At 39.0% G+C, this 23,082-nt stretch overlaps 1 protein-coding gene across 4 annotated transcripts in view; it reads right to left on the bottom strand.

Annotated features, from left to right (window-relative positions):
- Positions 1–249: 249 nt before the first annotated feature.
- Positions 250–23,082, bottom strand: part of DAW1 (dynein assembly factor with WD repeats 1) — a 52,714-nt gene continuing 29,881 nt past the window's right edge. For 3 of the 4 annotated variants that reach the window (XM_047443536.1, NM_001330004.2, NM_178821.3), the window contains 7 exons: positions 21,485–21,592; positions 19,559–19,665; positions 18,256–18,358; positions 17,342–17,456; positions 5,738–5,814; positions 3,033–3,195; positions 250–660 (listed from right to left, as the gene is read on the bottom strand). In XM_047443536.1, coding sequence (XP_047299492.1) covers positions 626–660; positions 3,033–3,195; positions 5,738–5,814; positions 17,342–17,456; positions 18,256–18,358; positions 19,559–19,665; positions 21,485–21,592 — 708 coding nt within the window. In that variant the 3' untranslated portion in view covers positions 250–625. Of the gene's footprint in view, positions 661–3,032; positions 3,196–5,737; positions 5,815–12,124; positions 12,341–17,341; positions 17,457–18,255; positions 18,359–19,558; positions 19,666–21,484; positions 21,593–23,082 lie in introns of all 4 variants that reach the window. The other variant, NR_138459.2, reaches the window with a different exon arrangement.

Genomic DNA, 23,082 nt, shown 5'->3' with positions numbered 1-23,082 from the left:
CCTCAAGTGATCCACCTGCCTCTGCCTCCCAAGGCACTGGGATTACAGGTGTGAGCCACGGCGCCCGGCCCCACCCAGATTTTTAAATGCAATAGTCTGAATATTCTGTTTAACTTTTCCTTAGAAATAAACCTGCCAACATTTTTCTCAATGTATCAATACAGAAGATATTTGCCATTAAATGAGATCCGCATTATTTCCCTTACTTCACCCTAAAAACATACATCATAAATACACATGTACAAGGAATTTCCTCCAAACACTTTATTCAACAGAAATTATAACAATAGGCTTCAAAGTAAAATCCAGGAGACACGTTGTTAAGTTGTTCTGGTCTCCTTTTTCAGTATCATAATGCTTTTAAAAAACAAACACAACTGAAATAACTGGTGGCATTAGCCAAACATTATGCTGTGTCCTGCCATCGCCATCAAATAATAATATTGGAGTGGCATAACTTTGTCATGTTTAATGGTCATATCTGTGAAATGAAGGACAGTTGTAGAAATAGTTGACTTGCAGAAAAAGAGAAAGTATAAGAAATATTAAGAGAGCTGCTGTCTGTGAAGTTCCAGTTCTTGATTACCATTGCTAGCAAGGTTGCTCACTGACCAGCTTCCTTCAGTCAACGCCATATCCTACAGGTATTATCCTTGCTGCCTAATAAAACAGATTTCATGCAGTTATTTTTTTCTTCATTTCATTCACCTCATTCTCTCTTTCTACAAGTTGACATTTTCTGGGCCATTGGTAATTAACAACTTGCTAAATGGGCTAGGTTCTCCGCGCCTAGCTGCAGAGTCTCTGAGCAGCTCAGGCATTTTTAAAGTAGTGATTTTTTTTTTTTTCACGATACCAGCTAGTTGTAAATTAAGCAGGTACGCATCCTGCTTACTTACACTAGCAAGATTCATGGCTTCTCAGAATGGGAGAGAACTTGAGAATGCAGCCACCTCAGCCATCCCCTCTGCCGTCCCCTCAAACATCACCACCCAGTGGAAATACAGCAACTTTGAATATCTCCAGGTTTGGATGATAAGCTTAGGAAGAGGCAGGACATACCACTTTGGAACATTTCAAAATTTTAGGGGGTTTTTCTCATCATCAGTGGGCACTACTGGTTTTCTCACCTTCAGGGACCAGGCACATAACATCAATATAAGAAGTGTGAGTGCCTTAGGAATTAGGAAAGCCTATAAAAACCATATCCCACAAAATGACACTTCATGTTTTAACAAATGTAACGGTCATGCCAGCTATTTTTCTGCCATTTACTTTGTGATTCTAAATCCAGCCTCAGGTAGGCCACTACAAAATGCCTGCAGTTTATCACACCAGGGTCCACTCGGAAAATAGAGTAGATTCTTTCAAATAAAGTGACTGCTCCATCGATGGCAAGAGAAAAGTGTCACCCCAATCTAATAAGCTCTGTTGTCTAGTGAGCCAATGTTAAGCACTTTGGTGCTTTGGGATACACTAAATTAATCAGTGGTATCTTCAAAGAGCTCAGGAATGTATGTGCTGGCACCAACGCAAGGCACAATAACAAAAATTCTTTTGCTAAACTCTCCAGGGTCTTCTGTGAAAACTGGTTGAGGGAAGAAGTACTGCAGAGCCAGCCTCATATGAGGCCATGTGGACTAGGAAAGGCTGGTCTTCCTTCTTTCTCACTCCCTGCAGGAGCGCCCTGTGCCCTCCATCATAGCCCCTCACCTCTTTTCTCATCAAGGAGAAGGATTTGATATTGTGTTCACAACAAAAATCTATGGCTTGTTTTCCCAGTGCTTTCAAAGTACCTACATCTTAGTTAACACTTGAAAATCATAAGCCCAAAGATTTTGAAGATCGTAAGCCCTGTGATTTCGGAAACTGTCCATCATTAAGTAGACTGGGGAGGCATTTTAGGTGGTAAGGGGAGATAATTCTCAGCACCCCTGAAGTTATCTGACAAGGAAACCACCTAATTGGCCAATATGTAAAGCCAGCCTTGGGCCTGTGGCATTTAACTTATTAGACTAGTAATTTTTAAATTTGCTCAACATGATGAGAATCACTGGTACTTAGGCAGATCTGGTCTTCTGTGCTCACTTAGGGTGCCCTACTCCACACTATTGTGGCACCCATTCCCTGCCAAGGCCTCCCCTCGAGGCACTCCACTAACATGATACCATCATCTTGTCATTTTTCTCCCCTTTCCACGATCTAAACTACCCTTTTCTTATGAAATGTTGCTAATATTATTAATTCACCATAAACTGTTAACGGTTGAAAAATGGTTAATACATGTTCTTTCCCCCCAGACATTAGTGCTTTAGCAGGGGAGAAAACAACTCTGCTCAAAGAATAAATCTCTAATGGGCTGTAAAGCCAACTGGGGAGAATTTTGATCCTGACTTGTTTTGGTTACTAACACTTACTGACATAAACTCAACTTTTTTCTTGAGACAGGGTCTTACTCTGTCACCCAGACTGGAGTGCAGTGGCCTGATCATAGCTCACTGAAGCCTCCAACTCCTTGGCTCAAGTGCTCCTCCAGCCTCAGCCTCCTGAGTAGCTGGGACTACAGGTGTACGCCACCATGCCCAGCTAATGCTCTATTTTTTTTGTAGAGACGGGGTCTCACTATGTTGCCCAGGCTGGCCTCAAGCATTTTTTCTGCCTCAGCCTCTCAAAGCACTGAGATTGTTGGCATGAGCCAATGCGCCTGGCTGACTAAATATTAACCATTCAATTGATAGAAAACACCTGGGGAAATTTAGTAACCTGTAAGGCAGGCTATCAAATTGTTACCTTATCTAGAGCAAATAAAATTCAAAGTTCACAAAGGCTTACTACAGTCAATGGCAGCGCTCACTCCTGTGGGTCCTCATAAAACTAAAATTAAATAATGAAAATATGAGGGCAGGCCAAGATGAGCTAGTGACTCCAGAAAAGAGGTAGGGAATGGGGATGAACTCCTGTTAGTATTCAGCTTGGGAACTCTAACAGCCAATCAAGAAAAAATGAGTCTATGGTGTTGATGTCTTCCATACCTGTAATGACTATGTTGCCTTTATAGTTGAAAGCACATGAAAAGATTTCATCAGTGTGCCCCTCAAGAACCTGGAGGCACTGGCCAGTCTGAGCATCCCAGATTCTAGCCGTTTTGTCAGAGCTGCCAGTTAGAAGATGGTTCCCTTGAGGGTTGAAAGAAATCTGCAAAAGAGAAAGAAAAATGATCACAGCTTTGTGTAATGGTTCCCAAAACATTTCTTATCAGCAAAAAAAAAAAAAAAAAAAAAAAAAAAAGGACATTACAGCACATGTCACCTTCCTAGTCTGGTATTTATTCTTGCATAGAACAATTTCTTCATAATGGAAAAAAATATTGCAGGGACTAGTACATGGAAACTAAAATCCAGAGAGAAAATGTAATTGCCTACTCCTCACATTTCTAAGAATAAAGACCAAAGCATCCTTATAATTTGAGTATTCCCCACCCAGCTTCTTTCCAAAGATGCACGATGCCCTTCTCTGTGCAAAGATGCAGGGCCCTGGTGTGGATGAACACACGAGTCAGGATCCTTCGTAGCCAAACCCTGGTGTCATCTTTGTGGTCAAAAGCACACAGATCCGGGCCAGGGGCGGTGGCTCAGGACCGTAATCCCAGCACTTTGGGAGGCCAAGGCAGGTGGATCACCTGAGGTCAGGAGTTCAAGACCGCCTGGCCAACATGGCGAAACCCCGTCGCTACTAAAAATACAAATTTAGCTTGGCATGGATGGTGGCACACACCTGTAATTCCAGCTACTGGGGAGGCTGAGGCAGGAGAATCGCTTAAACCTGGGAGGTGGAGGTTGCAGTGAGCTGAGATCATGCCACTGCTCTCCAGCCTGGGTAACAGAGCAAGACTCCATCTCAAAAAAAATAATAAAAAATAAAAATAAATAAATAAAAATTTTTTAAAAAGCACACAGATCCTTCTCTAATCTGTGCCATAGAATAAGTGAATGTAGAACCTACAAGAAAGGATGTTCTCATCTACTGCCACCCCAAGTATAGCATTTTCCATAAATACGCTTCTGTGCCTCCCGTGTGCCAGGTGTTGCCAACTGGCATCTGAGTGACCATCAAAGGAACCTGTTAGTCCTGCATCCCTTTGGGTGTCACACTTACATCCCCCTCTAATCACCAGAAGACAGAGATTCGGGCCATCTCCTCAATGACTGAAGGTTTGAGGAGGGCAGGGCCGTATCTGTTTTTATCACTCTGTTACCAGTGGCTGTGCAATGCCCAGCACAGTGGACACTCTCTAAAAGTGTTTGTTGAATGAGTGAATACTTTAGCTTTGCACCCCATAGAAATGCCCTTACCAGATGCCAATTCAATAAGTAATATGTTCATTTAAAAAGCATAAAATGTAATAAAATAGCACTAGAGAATTCTTTGTATTCACTCATTCATGAAAATAGATGTTTACTTATGGAGGAGACACACAGATGTCTCAATAGCTACCTAGCCAGACACTCAGAAACATGGGCCAGGCTTCCTCCTCATCCTGCCTCCCACACCCCACTTTTCCATCCCCTCCTGCCATCCATAAGCCTCCCAGCTTATGAAGAGGCCATAGTCTGCATGCCCTGGAGACCACCACTGACCAGCCAGAGGGCAATGATCACCAGCTGTAGGTGCAGAAGCAGAAAGGCCGAGAGTACAGCCTGGGGCGGAGTTCCAGGGTCTAGAAGGGGCCTTTAGAAACCTAAAATCATCAAGCTGATATTTTGCAAAGCAGGAACAAATCTGATCTCAGACAGGGAACCAAGGGATTGTGCTGAGCTGGGAGGTGAGAGCCACCAATCCTAGCCTACTCTACGAAGTTCTGATGACACATCTAAACTTCAGATCACTGACTGGGTGGGCCTGCTCCGTGAATGATCCTTTGGGGGAAGTTTATACAAAATCCTAAAACACAGCTTTGTAGTTTCAAAATGGATAATTTTATAATTTAATTTTAATTATAATTTTACATATTTCCAGGAACTACTTCCTCAATTGCATCTAACTTACAGAACACTTGATACTTGCTGCCCAGCATATTTTTCGCACAACATAAACTTATGTGTTTACCGGAACCAGGAAAAGCAGTTTACACGCTCCTTAAATTGCCATATTAAATATCTTCAGCTAACTAAATCTTTTGCTGACAGTGGAGGCGAATGCTGTTCCATACTTTTTAAGAGGTTTTAGAAATAATTTATTATGCTAAGTTTGAGGGCACAGTTAAAAATAAAGTCTTTAGGTAAGTGATTTCTAGAAAAAAACATGAGACAATAGAACAAATCTTAATCTTAGTACTTCAATTCCAATAGACCTATTTATACTGAGCATGCTTTTTTTTTTTTTTTCTTTTTTTTTTTTCTAGATAGGGTCTTGCTCTGTCACCCAGGCTGGAATGCAGTGGTGCAATCACATCTCACTGCAGCCTTGACCTCCTGGGCTCAAGCAATCCTCCTTCCTCAGCCTCCACAGTAGATGGGACTACAGGTGGGTAACACCATGCACAGCTGACTTTTTTTGTTTTTTGTAGAGATGAGGTATCCCTATGTTGCCCAGGCTGGTCTTGAACTCCTGGCCTCAAGCAATCTTCTCACCTTTTCCTCTCAAAGTGCTGGGATTATAGGTGTGAGGCACTGCACCTGGGCCCTGCTCTTTATTTTTTGAAAGTAAATAAACTCCTCCAAATGAGAAAGCGACTCACCTTTGAAATTTCACCTTCATGACCTTCCAGTTTGGCAATGCATTTTCTTGTGGCAGCACTGAAAATTCTTGCTGTTCCTTTTTGAGAGGGGTGGGGATATATATAAATTCATCTTAAATACAGAACTTTGGATAAAAGACTTTGCATTGTATAAATATATATCCCCCTGACACACGAGCTCTGTGCTAAGTTCATCTTCTTGCCTGTGTTGAGAGCCAGATACTTAATACTCTAAATGCCTGCTGGTCCCATTGCAGGAGAGGGTGAGAGGGAGCTCCTCTTTAGCCCTGAGCTTATTAGAAGAAATAATGTATTCCAAGGTAGAAAAGAGACCAAGAAGCAGGAATCCAGAAAGAAAAAACTTTAAGAGAAAAAGAGGAATTAGAGCAAGTTTCAAGAGGCAGGTGATGAAATAAGCAGCAAGACCAGCATGATACACTAGGTGTGAGTCTGAGTTTCTGCAAGGTACACAAGGAACATCCCAAGAAGGAGCATCAGCCGCTACTCAACAGGCAAAAAACAGGCTTCAAAAACCCTTTTCTACAGAAAAAGCTAATAGAATGCTTTTTTCCTGCTCTGCCTCCAGCGCCAAAAGCGCCAAGCATATATTAGCCATTCAATAAATAGCTGTAGTATGGATGGATGGATGGATGGATGGATGGATGGATGGATGGATGGATGGATGATGGATGGATGGATGGATGGATGGATGGACGGATGGATGGATGGATGGAGAAATGGATGGAATAAGTACTATGGACATTTCCTCATCAGTAAAGGATGAATAAGTTAAATAAATAAGTATTGAAAGTGAAAAACATGAGTAGTAAAATTTTTGTTAGAAGAAAACTTACAATTTGCCTTGCCAGATGAAGACTGCTTTTTTAAATCTCTGATTATAGCATTACATAGTAGTAAAATATAGCAAGGATACAAAATTGTAGGTACTTGATTTGCATCCAGAGAAAAGTAAAATATCATAATAAATTTTTTACTTGCCTTTCTGACAATGTCAACTTCATGAGGAGGTACAAAAAATGACAAAACCTGCCATTTTAGAATTAATGTGATTAAAAAATATATAACTTGAAATTCGGTTGGACATTTCAAAAGCCTTAAAGGGAAGTGACCAATTTGGTTTCAGAGTCAATAACATGAAAGAGAATGTCCTGCACAGATCTACACTCTAAGTTTTATAAAACTATATGTCTAAACTTCAGAAAACTCAGAAATAATATGGCCTGCAACACTGTAATTTTTTTACAGATAGGGATACAACTAAAGAAACAAAAAAATCGGCTGGGCGCAGTGGCTCATGCCTGTAATCCCAGCACTTTGGGAGGCCGAGGCGGGAGGATCACGAGGTCAGGAGATCGAGACCATCCTGGCTAACACGGTGAAACCCCGTCTCTACTAAAAATACAACAAATTAGCCGGGTGCGGTGGTGAGCACCTGTAGCCCCAGCTACTCGGGAGGCTGAGGCAGGAGAATGGCATGAACCCAGGAGGTGGAGCTTGCAGTGAGCTGAGATAGTGCCACTGCAGTCCCACCTGGGCGAAAGAGCAAGACTCCATCTAAAAAAAAAAAAAGAAACAAAAAAATCAGCCTTCAGAATAATTCCAATAAAGAAGAAAAAGTAGATAGATCGATCGATAGATGGATAGATACATAGATAGACAGACAGACAGACAGACAGACAGACAGACAGACAGATAGATAGATAGATAGATAGATAGATAGATACTGTCATGCATGGTCATGAGGGAGACGACACAGACATAGCTTAGTGTCACATGTTGTCAGAGAGATAACATAAACATAGTGTAGGGTCAAATGTGGTTATCAAGGAGATGATGCAGATACAGTGTAGTGTCATACATTGCTGACAAGGAGATTATACAGACATAGGTCAGAATTATGGAGCTGACACATACACAGTGTAGCATCATACATGATCATCAATAAGATGATCCAGATGTATAGTAGTATCTACACAGGAGTCAGAATGTTAACATAGACATGCTGTACATCATATGAGGATTTAAAGGAGATAACGCAGACATAGTATAGCCTGATGTGTGATCACTGTCAAGTTCAGGTAGATGAAAAAGACATAGTGTAGCATCACATATGATCATCAAGAAAATAATGGAGACTTCACAGGTCATATGTGGACTACAGAAGATGATACCCAAATAATATAGTATACATGGCCATCACGGATATGACATATATCCATGGTTATCATATGTAATTTTCTAGAAGATGATGCAAAATAGTAAAGCACTCTACAAGGTTATCAAGAAGATGACAGAGAAATAGTATAGCATCATACTTGGTTTTCAAGTAGATGACATGCACATTGACATTCATAATACGTGACTATCAAAGAGAATGACCTTGGTTTAAACATCATACATAGTTACCAAAGAGACAACGCAGTCATAACAGCATCATATGTACTTCTCAAGCAGATTTTGCACATATAGTGTGGCACCATATATAGTTGTCAAGGTGATAACACAGATATCTTGCAGCATCAAATACTGTCATCAGTGAGATTACTCATAATATCATGCATAAGTATTTTTAAATTGATGTAAACATAGTATAAATTAATGTACTGCTGTTAAAAACAATGCAGACATAGCATATAACCATAAGTGGTTGTCAAGGAGATGATTACATATTAGATATAGTGTAGCAGTACATTATTTTCAGGGTAATAGTCATACAGGGTCTCAATAAGACAATGAAGACATAATGTTGCATCATACATGGTTATCAGGGAAATCACAAAGATTTAAATGCCACAGATGTTTATTAGAAATATGTGACTGATAAAATAGCTATCATGAAAATATGCAGAAATAATGTATAATCATATGTAACTTTCAAGGTGATGGCACAAACATTGTAGCATTATAAATTGTCCTAAATGAGATGAACTACGGCATAATATCATAAGGAATTTTCAAGGACATGATATAGACAATAGTATAACATTGATGTGGTTATCAAGAAGAGGAAGTAGATACAGTGTAGCATTATATATGGCTATTAAGGATATGACACATAAGATAGCATCACATATGGCTGACAGAGACAATTATATTTTAGCACAATAAATGGGAGTAGTGAGATGAAACATAGTACATATATTCAGTGTTATTAAGAAGACCAAAACAGAGTCTAGTACCATAGGATTTACTACAGACAGGGTATGTTACAGCATCACACATCATTCTCAAGGAGATGATTATCAGAGGTTATTGTCAAGGAGGTGTCACAGAAATAGTTTAGCATCACACAGGGTCATTGCAGAAAAGACATAGTTATAGTATTAATCCCACTTGGTGTTCAAAGAGATAATGCAGACATCTTCCAGCATCAAACATGGTCATTAGGAAACTGACCCATAAAATAGCATACTTTATGGATATCAAGAAAAAGAGGCAAATATAGAATAGCATATACATAGTACTTAAGTTGATGACACACAAGTGATGACACATACATAGAGTAACACCATACATTACCATCAAAAAGATGACCCATAATAGATTGTCATTTGAGAATATTGTGGAAATAATAAAATCATAGTATAGCATCATATATCATCATCAAGTAAAGGATGAAGATATAGTTTACATCACTACACAACATGAATAAAAGCAGAGCATCATATATTTATCAAAGTGTGCTGCAGTAATACTATACCATAACACATACTTAATAAAATTATGATGCAGACAGAGTGTGGCACCATATGTTTTTGTCAAGGGTATGATGCAGACATTATGTAGCATCACTGTCATCAGGGAGTTTAGCCATAGTACAGCAGTATCATACATGGCTCTCAAGGAGGTGAAAAAGTCATAATGTACCAATATATGTAGTATGTTAAAAGATGATACAGACATAGTATAGCATGACATGTAGTTGTCATGGTGGCCTATAGCCTAGAATTATATATGATTATCAATGATGTAAACATATCATGTGATTAAAAGGATGACATATATTAGTACGACATTATCTAAGACAGATATCATATTGATTCCAACATAAATTTCAAGATGGTGATGAAAACATGTAGCATCATAGGTGGTTTTCAAGGTGATGACCCTGATAAGATGTAGCACAATACATGTTAATGCAGACAGTGAAGTAGACATCATGTATCCTCATAAGTGATCATCAGTGAGATGAGGCAGACAATACAATGCCAAATGTGGGCATAAGGGGGATGACATAATCTAGTGTAACGTCATATGTAATCTTCTTGGATATAAGGTGCACAGAGTGTAGCATCATACATGGTTTCCAAAGAGATGACACAGAGTGGCATCACATATGGATATCAATATGATGGCTCAGCGTAGAATCATAAGTAGTAATCACTATTTATGACAAGTAACATAGATCACTACTTATGACAAATAACATAGATCATCAATGGTTGTAAAGGAGATTTGGTATACATAGTATAGCATCATAGGTGGTTATCAAGGAGATGGTGCATATAGTATTATAGCACCAGCCACGGTTATCAAGTTTAAGATGCAGACATATTGTAGCATCATACATTATGGTCAGAGAAATGACCCAAAATATAAGATAATCCTCAGTACAGGATCATAGATGATGAAGACACAGTATAGCACCATATTTGTTTATCAAGGAGGTGGTGCAGACATAGTACAGCATCACTCACGGTTATCAAACAAATGAGGTAGACACAGATGTGATGTGAGGTCCTATGTGTTTATCAAAGAAATGCCACAGAAATATTGTTGCATTATAAAGGCCTTTAGGAACATGAATAGACCTAATGTAAAGAAAGAGAGAGAGAGAGAGAGAGAGATACAGATATATGACTCTCTCTCTCAATAGATTAGATAGATGATGATGATGATGATGATGAAGATAGATAGACAGACAGACAGACAGACAGACAGACAGACAGACAGATAGATAGATATGATGACTGTCTTCTGGCAGAAGGTGTAGACATGTTGTAATGTCATACATGATGATCAGGGAGATGACAGAGACACTGTAGCATCTCAGTGGCCATAAAGAGCATGACATATGCATAGTACAGGGATATATGTGGTGTACAAGGATTCTACAAAGATTGATTTTAGAACCATACACAGTGCCAAGGAGATGACACATGTATAGTATCACATGGTTATCAGTGGGATGATGTGCATGTAGAGTACCATCACATATGGGAATTTTAAAATGGCACATAGGATAGCATTATACATGAATATCAAGGAGACGACATGCATGAATGCAGCACTGTGGGTTTTCCTCATGGAAATAACCTATATTATGGCATCATAAATGTCACAAAGGAGCTGGTCCATATAAATATCAGGCATCATATGTGGTTATCAAGGAGAAAAGCATTATCTGTGATTTTCAACATGATGAAACACACAGTATAATGTCACATGTGGTTATCAAGGTGATGACTCAGAAATAGGGAGATATAACACATGGTTATAAAGGCGGTAACTTAGTATATCATCTATAGTTATTAAGGAAATGAAGTACACATAATATAACATCACATGTCGATATGAAGGATATTATGTAGTCATGTTTTAACACAATATGTGGTGATATCAAGACCCAAACAAAGGATAGTGTCACAAATCATCATCAAGAAGATGATCTTCTCATGCGAGGTTCTGAAAGATGAATCCTAAAATTGCATGTCACTTTGTTATCTAGGAGATGATTCAGATATAGTACAGACTCATACATGATTGCGATTGTAAAGGAGATGACAGAGAAATAGTTTAGCAATATACATGCTTGCCAAATGTTCAAGCTCCTTTGTAACATTTATGATGCTATAAGCAGTGATAATATTGTACAACATATAGCTGTCAAGGATGGGGCATCAAACATGACCATCAGTGATAGGACCCAAAATGTGGCATCATATATGGTTGCCAAGGAAATTTGGAGTGATAGTGTAGCATACATAGTTGTCTAAGACATACAGATGCAAACGTATGAGAGCACAATCCACAATTATCATGTTTATCATTGCAGACACATGGCAGCTTTTTATATGATCATCAAGGAGATAACCCAGAATATGCCATCCTACATGATTAACAGGTAGGGGATGACAGCAGTATAGCTTATGTATGGTTTTCAACAAGGTGACACAGACATAGGGAAACATTTTTGTTTTCAAGGAAATGAAGAATACAAATGAAGCAGAATAGGCGGTCATCACTGAGATGACAAACACAAAGTGTAGCAATGTCCAGACCTCCAGTGATATGAAACAGACATACTAGACAGTGCAGCATTATATATGATCATCAAGAAGATAAGGAACACAGCATGTAGCATACCATATTGTTGACAGCAGATGACACAGGCATAGTTTAGCATCACGTCCAGTGATCAAAGAGATGAACACACCGGATAACATCAAACATGATTACCAAGAACGTGACATAACTCGGGCGGCTGAGGCAGGAGAATCGCTTGAACCTGGGAGGCGCAGGTTGCAGTGAGCCAAGATCGTGCCACTGCACTCCAGCCTGGGCGACAGAGCGAGACTCCATCTCAAAGAAAAAAAGAAAAAGAGAAAGAAGGTGACATAGATATAGCATAACATCATACATGTTGACCATGGAGATGAGGCAGAATGTAACATTATACTTGGTTCCAGAAAAGACAATGTACACACATAAGTCAGTATAGTATGGTATGGTATGGCATAGAAGAGTAGAGCATAGCGTAGCACAGTATAGACACACAGACACAGCACAGAGCCAAATATTGTTGTCATGAAAGGATCTATACATAGTGAAGCAGGATATATGGTCATGAGAAAGATGAATCAGATAGTATAGGGGCATAAGTGTCAGAGAGATGGCACATATGTAATGTAGCTGCCATTTGTGGTCATCAGGGAGATGATGTAGACATAGTGTAATCTCATAAAGGTCCTAAAGAGAGGTAAGAGATAAGATAGCATCACATGTGGATATCAGGGATATAACACATACGTTATACAGCATCATATGTGGTAGTCAGAAAGATGATACAGAAAGTACATGTGGTTATCAAGGCAATGACACAGACATAGTGGAGAAATTATAAGTTGTTGCCAAGGAGAGGATGAAAACATGTTCTTACAAATAAAATGATCATCAGGGAGACAAAGTAAATATATTATAGCATCATCCTTAAATAACTAGGCCATGTCACCCATAAGGTATAGCACAGCCCTTTGTATAGGGCATGATGAAGTTACAGTGTAATATAAGTGGTTTCAAGAAGATGATAAAAACATAAAATAATATGCAGTTGTCAGGCAGAAGCAGCAAACACACAGTATGTCATATGTGCTATTATATGCTGAATTGTGTCCTTTTAAAATTCATATGTTGAAGTCCTAATTCACAATATCTCAGAATGTAATATATATATAATATATATAATCATGTATAATTTTATATATACACATGTGTATATATACACATGTATATATGTATATATGCTTATACATACACGTGTATATATGTATATATACACGTGTATATGTGTATATACACGTGTATATATGTATATATGTATATATACACATATGTATGTATATATACACATATATATGTATGTGTATACATATATATATAACTATACATGATTCTTAAATATATGCAAGCATAGTATAGTTTCATCCATTGCCAAAAACATGATGAGACATAGTATAGCTTCATATACAATTGTCAAGGATATGGCTCAAAAAATAGTATAAGCTTACTTAGGTTGTCAGAGAGATAATGCAGATATAGGGCGGTGTTATATGTTATCAGGGAGATGACACATAGCATAGTTTCATACAAGACATCAGGGTCTCATGGATGATTGGATGCAGAAAAAAAGTATCTGGGTGATGACACATAATTTTGTGTCATATGAAGATACCATGGATTCGACACAGATATGTTGTAATGTCACAGGTGCTTATCATGAAAATGAAGCAGACATACTGCAGCATCATAAATAGTAGTCAGGGAAATGATGCAAAAATATTGTATCATCATACCCTGTTTTCCAAATGGCATGGACATAGTGTAGTATCATATTTGTAGGTCCTGGAGATTAATTGTAGCCTAGTGTAATAAATGGTTATTATGAATATGATGCCGAAATAGTATAAAGTAACATATAGCATCTTATGGGGTTGTTAAAGGGGTGATATAGTAATAATATAACATCACACATCATTGTCCAATACATTTCAAATAATGTAACACCACATATGGCTGTCTAGAATATGAGGGGTGTGTGTGTGTGTGTGTGTGTGTGTGTGTTCATCCACAAATATATTCATCAAGAAGATGGGGTCTCACTCTGTCACTCAGACTGGATTATAGTGGCATAATCATAGTTCGCTGTAACCTTGAACTCCTCCTGGGCTCAGGTTATTTTCCTCAGCTTACTGAGTAGTTAGGTCTACAGGTGCATGCCACCACACCTGACTAATTTTTGTTTTAATTAGCTAATTTTTGTTTAATTTTGTAGAGATGGGGTCTCACTATGTTGCCCAGGCTCATCTCAAACTCCTGGCCTCAAGCGATCCTCCAATCTTGGCCTCCCGAAGTGTTGAAATAACAGGCATGAGCCACCACACCTGGCCATGATGCATATATTATATAGCATCATACATGATCATCAAGGAAATTGTCATAGTACAATATCATATATGACTATCAAAGAATAAGGTACGCATAACACATGTTTTAGGATACCTCAGAAACATCACGATGTTGTATTTGGTTGTCAGGGAGATGATGCAGATGTAGTATAATGTCATATGTGGGTAACAGGATATACACACACAGTGCGGCATTGTGATGGTTAATTTTATGTGTCAACTTGACTGTGTTAAGGGATACCCACGTGGCTGGTAAAACATTGTTTCTGGGTGTGTCTGTGAGGATGTTAGACTGAGTAAATAAGAGCCACCCTCACCAATGTGGGCAGGCATCATCCAATCCATTGAGGACCCAGATACAACAAAAGGTGGAGGAAGGATGAAATTCTCTCTTCTGGAGCTGGGACATCCATCTTCTCTGGCCCTCGGTCATCGAGCTTCTGGTTCTCAGATCCCCAGACTCCAAGACTGACACCAGTGCCCTCCTCAGTTCTCTCAAGTTTTTGGCCTCAGACTAAGAGTTACACCATTGGTCCCCCCAAGTTTTTAGGTTTTCAGACTTACACTGAATTATACCACTGACTTTCCTGATTCTCCAGCTTGCAGATGGCATATGGCAAGACTTCTCAGCCTTCATATATAAATATGTGTGTGTGTATACTTATATAATATTGGTTATATACTATATATATGTGTGTGTGTATTTATATACTATTGGTTATATACTATATATACTATAAACAGAATTATATACATAGTATATATAGTGTAATACATATAAATATATAATATATAAAAATGTACAAATATATAATATAAAAAATACATAAAATTATATATAGTATAAAACAGAACCAATAGGAGACAGACAGACAGACAGATAGATAGATAGATAGATAGATAGATAGATAGATAGATAATATCACCACCTTTCTAAAGGTGGTGATGTGATATAGTGGACCCTGCAGACATGTTGGCCAGGGCAATGAGGTATAAATACTATAGCATCATACATGGATTTCTAAGAAATACTAAGATATGGAATAGTATCATATATGGTTATAAATAATTGGATAAAGATACAGTATAGTATCATACATTATTATAAAGAGGATAAAAACAGTGTAAATTAAACATAGTCAGATACATGACATAGATACAATATAGCATCATATGTGGTCATCAGATAGATAACAGACTTGGTGTAGCTTCACACGTGGTCATCAGGTAGATGGTATCGATGTAGTTTAGCATCATCTGTATCTTCAGGAAGATGACACATAGTTCATACTTCAAATTCTATGCCTCACAGAATAGCATCACGCATGGTATGTGATGTCGATATGACATAGACTTAGTATAGCATCACATATGCTTGCCAAGGAGACATAGGATGATGGAGACATAGTATAGTACCATGTGGTTATCAAGGATATGGTGTAGACATAGTTTAGTGTAAAATAGGAAATTGTCAGGGAGATAATGTAGAAATTGTATAGTGTTAACACATGTTTTTCAGGAATATGCTGCAGACATAGAGTAGCATCATAAATACTTGCCAGGGAAATAGTGCAGACACAATGAATCATCACATATGTTTGTCAAAGAGATGACACATAATATAACATCATATATGGTTGTCATGGGAATGACTTGTTGTTCAGTATCATAAAATGTTATCCAGGACATGATGCATGCATAGTACACCAACACAGATGGTCGTCACTGAGATAATAAAAACATCATATAGCATTGCATGTGGCTTCAACGAGATGACGTGGACAGAGTGTTAGTATCATACATATTTGTCAGCAAGATGATCATGGTTTTGCATCATATATGATTATCAAGGATATGATGCAGATATGGCCCAGCATCAAATGTGGTTTTAAAGGAGTAGATGAAAACACAGTATAGCATAATATGCAACTTTCAACAAGATGATGCAGATACAGTGTAGAAATAAACATGATCCTTAGGCGATAAGACAGACACAATATCATGTCACATGTGAGCAACAGGGAGATGACAGATATAGTGTAGTGTCACATGTGACTGTCACAGGATTGAAGCACACCTAGGATAGCACTATATATGGTTATCAATAAGATGACACATAGTGTAGAATCACAGTGGTAATCAAAGAGACAATGTATAGCATAGCATCATGTATGCTTATCACAAAGATGCAGTAGACATAGCGGAACAGCACATGTGGTTATAGTAAAGGAGATTATAGCACCATTGATGGTAATTAAGTTGACAAGGCCAACATAGGGTAACATCATATGTAATCATCAGGGAAGCTGGGCACGGTGGCTCACGCCTGTAATCCCAGCATTTTGGGAGGCCAAGGCAGGTGGATCATCTGAGGTCAGGAGTTCGAGACCAGCCTGGCCAACATGGAGAAACCCCGTCTCTACTAAAAATACAAAAATTAGCCAGGCATGGTGGTGCATGCCTGTATTCCCAGCTACTCGGGAGGCTGAGGCAGGAAAATTACTTGAGCCTGGGAGGCGGAGGTTGCGTTGAGCCGAGATCGCACCACTGCACTGCAGCCTGGGCAACAGAGTGAGACTCCATCTCAAAATAATAATAATAATAAAAATCAGGGAGATGACCCAGAATATAGCATCATATACAGATATTAAGAAGATGACAAAGACCTCATATACCTCGTTATGTAGGAGGTGACACAGACATTGCATAACATTACATGTGGTTATCAGGTATATGATATAGACACACTATTGTGCCATACATGGTCACGATAGAGATGAGACATGGTTTTTTATCATAGCTGGTCATCAAAGAAATGACCCATAGTGTAGAATTATGCATGGTTATCAAGCAAAGCATAAATCTCTCCAAAAATTAAAAGAATGAACAGATCACCTACCATCAGCTGAAGCAGTTGCAATAAGCTTTCCAGTGTAATCAAAGCAGCTGTCTAGTATTTCATCATCATGGCCTGTTAAGGTTGCCACACATTTTCCATTTGTAGCATCCCACAGCTACAATTAAAAGAACAAAAAACAAAAAAAAAAAGACTATGACTTTCTGTCTGAAGTGTGAAGATGGCCAGTGGTCTTCATGACATGCTTATGGCTGGTTAAATAACTGTGCAAAAATCACTTGTGTAATTCATGCATGTTCAGTTAGATTTACTTTGATTCATGACCAGAGACCACAGCCAACCATCAAGCAAGGCACACTCTAGTCACAGAGAAAACCAAAGTCAGACATTTAGAATCTGCCACTACATTAAAGAAAGAAAAAATATCTCAACGTGTATGCTTTACTGGTTGGTGAAGAGTTGTGCTCTTTTTATAGGAAGGACATCAAATGATTAGGAGCTTGATATAAAACTACAATGTCAGAAAATGGAAAGTACATTATAAGATTATATTTGTTACATAAACAAATGATAATTCCATAGTATAATCTCTTAGTAACCATTTTTTAAGTATAGAAACTTAGGGACAAGGAAACACTGTGTTTGAGGCTCCTTGAGGGTCACTCTACTAATTGAAGTTCTATAAATGAACAGTGGGATATTAAATAAAAATAAAATGCCTTCTCAAATAAGATATTTAATATACTTGAAGCAATTCAAATTGCTTTACTACATCACAATTCCTTCAAATTTGGAAAATCCAAAACTAGAAATTTTAAAAATTACCAACTATTTTTTGTAAATTAATATCTTAATTTTATATCATCTTTGAAATCTGTTAATGTTACAATGGATATCTGACACAGTAAAGAGTATAGACACAATATAAAGCAAAGATATTTATTTATTTTGCTCACCTTGCAGGTTTTGTCCATAGAGCCAGTTAATATTAGAGAGCAATCCCAATTGAATGAGGCACTGCTAATCTCAGCACAATGACCAATTAAGATATTTACCTTCCTACAACACAAAAATAATTAAAACTAGTGAAAGATATCTTACTTCAGTATATGCACATGAATAATGAGGCCAAGCCCATCTGTGTAAGCTAATCTAAAATCTGGTTTTTACAAAATAATATATTTGATGACAAATATGGCTCTACTATTGCTCAAAAAGAAGCTACCAATAATTTCATTTCAGCCGGGCACGGTGGCTCACGCTTGTAACCCCAGCACTCTGTGAGGCCGAGGCAGGTGGATCCACGAGATCAGGAGATAGAGACCATCCTGGCTAACACAGTGAAGCCCCGTCTCTACTAAAAATACAAAAAATTAGCCAGGCGTGGTGGTGGGCGCCTGTAGTCCCTGCTAATCGGGAGGCTGAAGCAGGAGAATGGCGTGAACCCAGGAAGCGGAGCTTGCAGTGAGCCGAGATCACGCCACTGCACTCCAGCCTGGGCAACAGAGCGAGACTCCGTCTCAAAAACTAACTAACTAAATAAATAATTTCATTTCAACAAAAATGTACTTAGATTTTAAACTATCAAAATAATGCTACTTAAGGCAACATTTCAAAAAGACATGGGTAACAAATAGTAAAGGCCGTAAGAAGTAGTCTTACACCGGGTGAGTGCACCCCTGGTTGTTCAGAAACTACACATCAAGTAACTGAAAGGTCCTTCTTCCTCTATCATTTCTTGTTGCATACATCTTGGTTGGCACCCCTGATAATTAGCCCCTCTATTAAATCACAGACAAATCCAAGAGTAGAGTTTTCCAACACAAATATGCTAATTTAGTTAACTTCCTAGCAACTAGGACCAAAAATCATTAGGAAGGAAATTGAAGTTCTTGGACTAAATTAATTTGGGAAATTAACTAAGAGTTTTTATTTATACATGATATTCCTGCCTAACATAATGACAAGCCATTGAAATCTGATTATCCATGAAATAAATAATAGCTATATAACCAGACTATTGCTAACATTCTCCTTTTATGTTGCTGTTTGTCATTATTTGCTCAGAATTCAAAGAATGCACATATTTTGTGAATCAGAAATATCATTAAAGAATGAATTAATTTACATTTTCAATATGTCCTATTTTTATGGAATCCAAAGCAGAGTTAATAGATAGTAGCTTAAACTAAAAAATAACAGAGGGTTTTCTGAACCCCCTGATCCAGGTTAAAACAATTCTTAAGAACTAAGAATTACCTTCCAGTATCAGCGTCCCACACTACAACGGTATGATCAAAAGACCCCGTGATGATTCTGTCTCCTGAGGTGTTAAATGACAAGGAGATGATTTCGGCAGAATGTCCCTAGAAAAAGAGCAGATACTGTCAAGTATACCTGCAGATAAAACAATTTCTGCAAGCGTACAATATCATAGTCTAAAAGGAAATGCTGGAGAAGGCCGAGCTCTAGGAACGGAGGTCAGCGGTTGGCTGGGGTGAGGATGGGGAGTGTCTGCACGTGGGCACAGGGTTCTTTTTGGGGTGATGGAAAGGTTTGAAAACTAGGTTTTGGTAATGGCTGCACAATACTGTGAGTTTACTAAAAATTAGTGACTTACACACAGCTAGTTCATTTAACTTAATAATATTGATTAAAAACAAAAGAAAGAGGTTGTATTTGGGGAAACTAGAGGACGTCCTTTACACTGCCTTGGAAACACTACAGAGCAGGGGATGCCATGGGCTAATAACACATGGTATGCAAAAGTAAACAGTGTATGAAATAAAACTAATTACTTTTAAAAAGGAAATTATTAAGATAACTTGACATGAAATCGATTGATAAATTCCTGCCTTTGGCCTGACTTTCAGCTGGTTACTGTCTAGTGTTAGTGAATCAAACTGTAAGATAATGGGAAGAAACCACTCTCCACAGCAGATTCTGGAACTCTGATAAGGGGATCCTGGTTGGAGTACATATATCCCTTGATTCCTTCATTATTTTAGTAAATTAACATAAGTATACTTTTAAATAATACAAAGAATTAGAAAAGTTGAATTATAACTTGATTTTTCTGATTGATTTCAAAGGACAAAATGAAATGTAGTTGAATATTCGAATTCTAAGTACGCAAAACAAATTCACTCTCTGGCGCAGACAGGTGTGCCAAGCAGGACCCCTCCCATTGAGTGCTCTTAGGCACGTCTGTAAAAGGAGTCATTTTAGTTGAAAGTGTGGCATTAATGGGGACCTTTCCCTGCACATTTGCCTGAAGGAAGAGATAGTAATGATTTAAAAAAAAAACGAAAAAAGAACTGAGAACAGAAAGAGTATACTTACACTAATAATGCTAGATACTCAGATTTAAGAAAGAAAAGCCATTACTGTTATTTTAAAATGGTGATTTTTTTTCTTTTGCAGTCCATGTTTTAACTTGCTTAGAAAAAGCTTTCTGAGGAAACAAATCATGTTTTTAAAAATGTACTTATAATTTTGAAAGGACAAGGAAACTGAATTTCCCATCTGGCTGTTCCTGCTGATTACAACATAGGGTCACTCTAGTTTTGTTGCAGTGACTTGGGCTGGGGTGGGAGGAAGGGGAGGGTGGGAGGAAGGGGAGGGTGGGAGGAAGGGGAGGGTGGGAGGAAGGGGAGAGTGACAGATGGCGGGGAGGTGCTGGGCACATGGTGGTGACACACAAGAGCATGCCCCACAGCACTCACTCTGTGGGCAGAGCCCTTTGGCCTTTTCCCCTCTGGTCACTTGCCCCTCTGTCATTTCAGACTTTTGTGATACAGGATGGCTGAAAGACCAGCGGGCAGAGGAGAGTGTGCTCACAGTCATTGCTCTAAGGATTCTCTTGTCATGGTTCTCCAGTTCTGCCTCTTCCAAAAGTGCCAGCCTCCACCTGCTTTCCTTTTAGCCAGAGAGATGGTGATGGGTTCTAAGATATAGTTTATGTGTTTTGCAGACTAAAGTTAGTCAAAATAAAAAGCTCCTTGGACTTCCCCAGCACCTCCACCCAAGTCTTTTGGAATAGCCAGGAAACCAGTAGGGACACTCTTTCACCACTAAAATTTGAAAACCAGCAACTCAACAACCTCCAACTTAGAGCTCATTTTGTAACAAAAACACAAATAAGAATGAACACAAATAACAGGCTTATTAACATTATTGACATACTCTTAAGGTGTAAACTTCCTCGCCATTCTGAATGTCCCACAATTTGGCTGTTGTGTCCATACTTCCAGTCGCCACCAATGTGCTTTGAGGGTTAAATGATAAACACACCTAAATTACATAAAATGGGAGAAATTTTAGGAAGACAGAGTTTCAAAGTGTTAATTATACACAGAAAATCTTCCAGATGCAATTACCTTACCAGATTCCATCTAATTCTTTGTACAAAACCCCACGTATGTGTGACCTGCTACCCCCAGGTTGAGTCCTTCAGAGTCCTCCTCTTGAAAAGAGGCTGCTTGTTCTCCCACAGCACCCAGCTAAGGCTTGGAGGGGCACTAGCTCCCTTTGCCACTTCCAGACCACAGAAGAACAAGAACAAAAGTGAAGCCCACCTCCTTTAAGATCCGTGCTATATGGCTCTCCTTCTCCTTGCTGCTGTCACCACAGTCCTTCCAATCACAGCCCCTCACTCATCAAGAGACTACTGGCTTGTAGTCTCAATGCCAAGTCTTAGGTGGCCTTCACGTGGGCAATCCATCCAGTTCCCCCAGACCCATGCCCCGGACAACTGTTCAGTAGTCTCTCCCATGGCCACACCATGGACCTTAGTATTATCTTCTCTAGAAGATTCACCACCAATTCACCAATCCAGGGTCAAAATTTCCCTTCCCACTCCCCTCCCCCAGAAGATCTTTCATCTCATTGAGACATCTGCCTTTTCTCCTGGTCCATCCTCCCCATTCAACTGACACCCCGGAAGCATCACTCCTCCCAGTATCCTCGACACTGTTAGCCCCTATCTATCTGATGCACCTTCCGTACCAACTGCTAACATTAACTTTTATCAGGCAAGGATTTTATCCAACCACCTGCTTCCCTGCCTCATCACCCAGCCAAGGTAGCTTAAGAGAACAGCACAGAAAGTTACTAGTATTGCTCTTTCATGCCTCTGTCCTCAGTAGAGTCCTCAGCACTGTTCCCTACTTTGCTTAAGATGCTTCTGGCTCTATACATTCTCCTGTTCCCCACTCCTGCCTCTACTTCCATCCTCACCCCTCCTCAACAGACAACCTGGCCTCCTTCCACTTCCCTGAGAAAACTCTCCTGTCAGGTAGGAACTTCCTGATCTTACTTTCCTTCCCCTCAGTCTCGGATGTAGAGGCATCCTTCCGCCCATTCTAAGAACCCCTTCCCTGTACACCTAGGGGAGATGCACCCACTAACTTTTCCTTCCCTGTAGACTAGATCCTTTTCAGTGGCCTGTAAATATGTTTGAGTAAATCCTCCCTTGATCTTATGTACCCCTCTTAGCAACTCTTCTTCCTCCTTTACAACCAAATTTCTTGGGAAACAGTCTACCATCATTTTTGTCCATCTTCTGCTCACTCGTCAACTCTTCTGAAACCACTCCAGCTAAATGCCCAATCCAGGTTTGGTCGGTCATCCCGCTTAACCTCCCTGATATCTGCAGCACTGAATCCTTTGTTCTCTAGTTTCCCTCCCTTTCTTCTTGTTTTTCTTTTTTCTTTTTGTATCATTTGAAGTTCTCTCTTCTCCATCCTCCCAAGATTCTGTCAGTCCCTCTCCATACTCTATAT

Source organism: Homo sapiens, chromosome 2, assembly GCF_000001405.40.
Source record: "Homo sapiens chromosome 2, GRCh38.p14 Primary Assembly".
NCBI lineage: Eukaryota > Metazoa > Chordata > Mammalia > Primates > Hominidae > Homo > Homo sapiens.
Note: the sequence above shows the minus strand (reverse complement) of the source record. Positions and strands in the feature narration are given on the sequence as shown.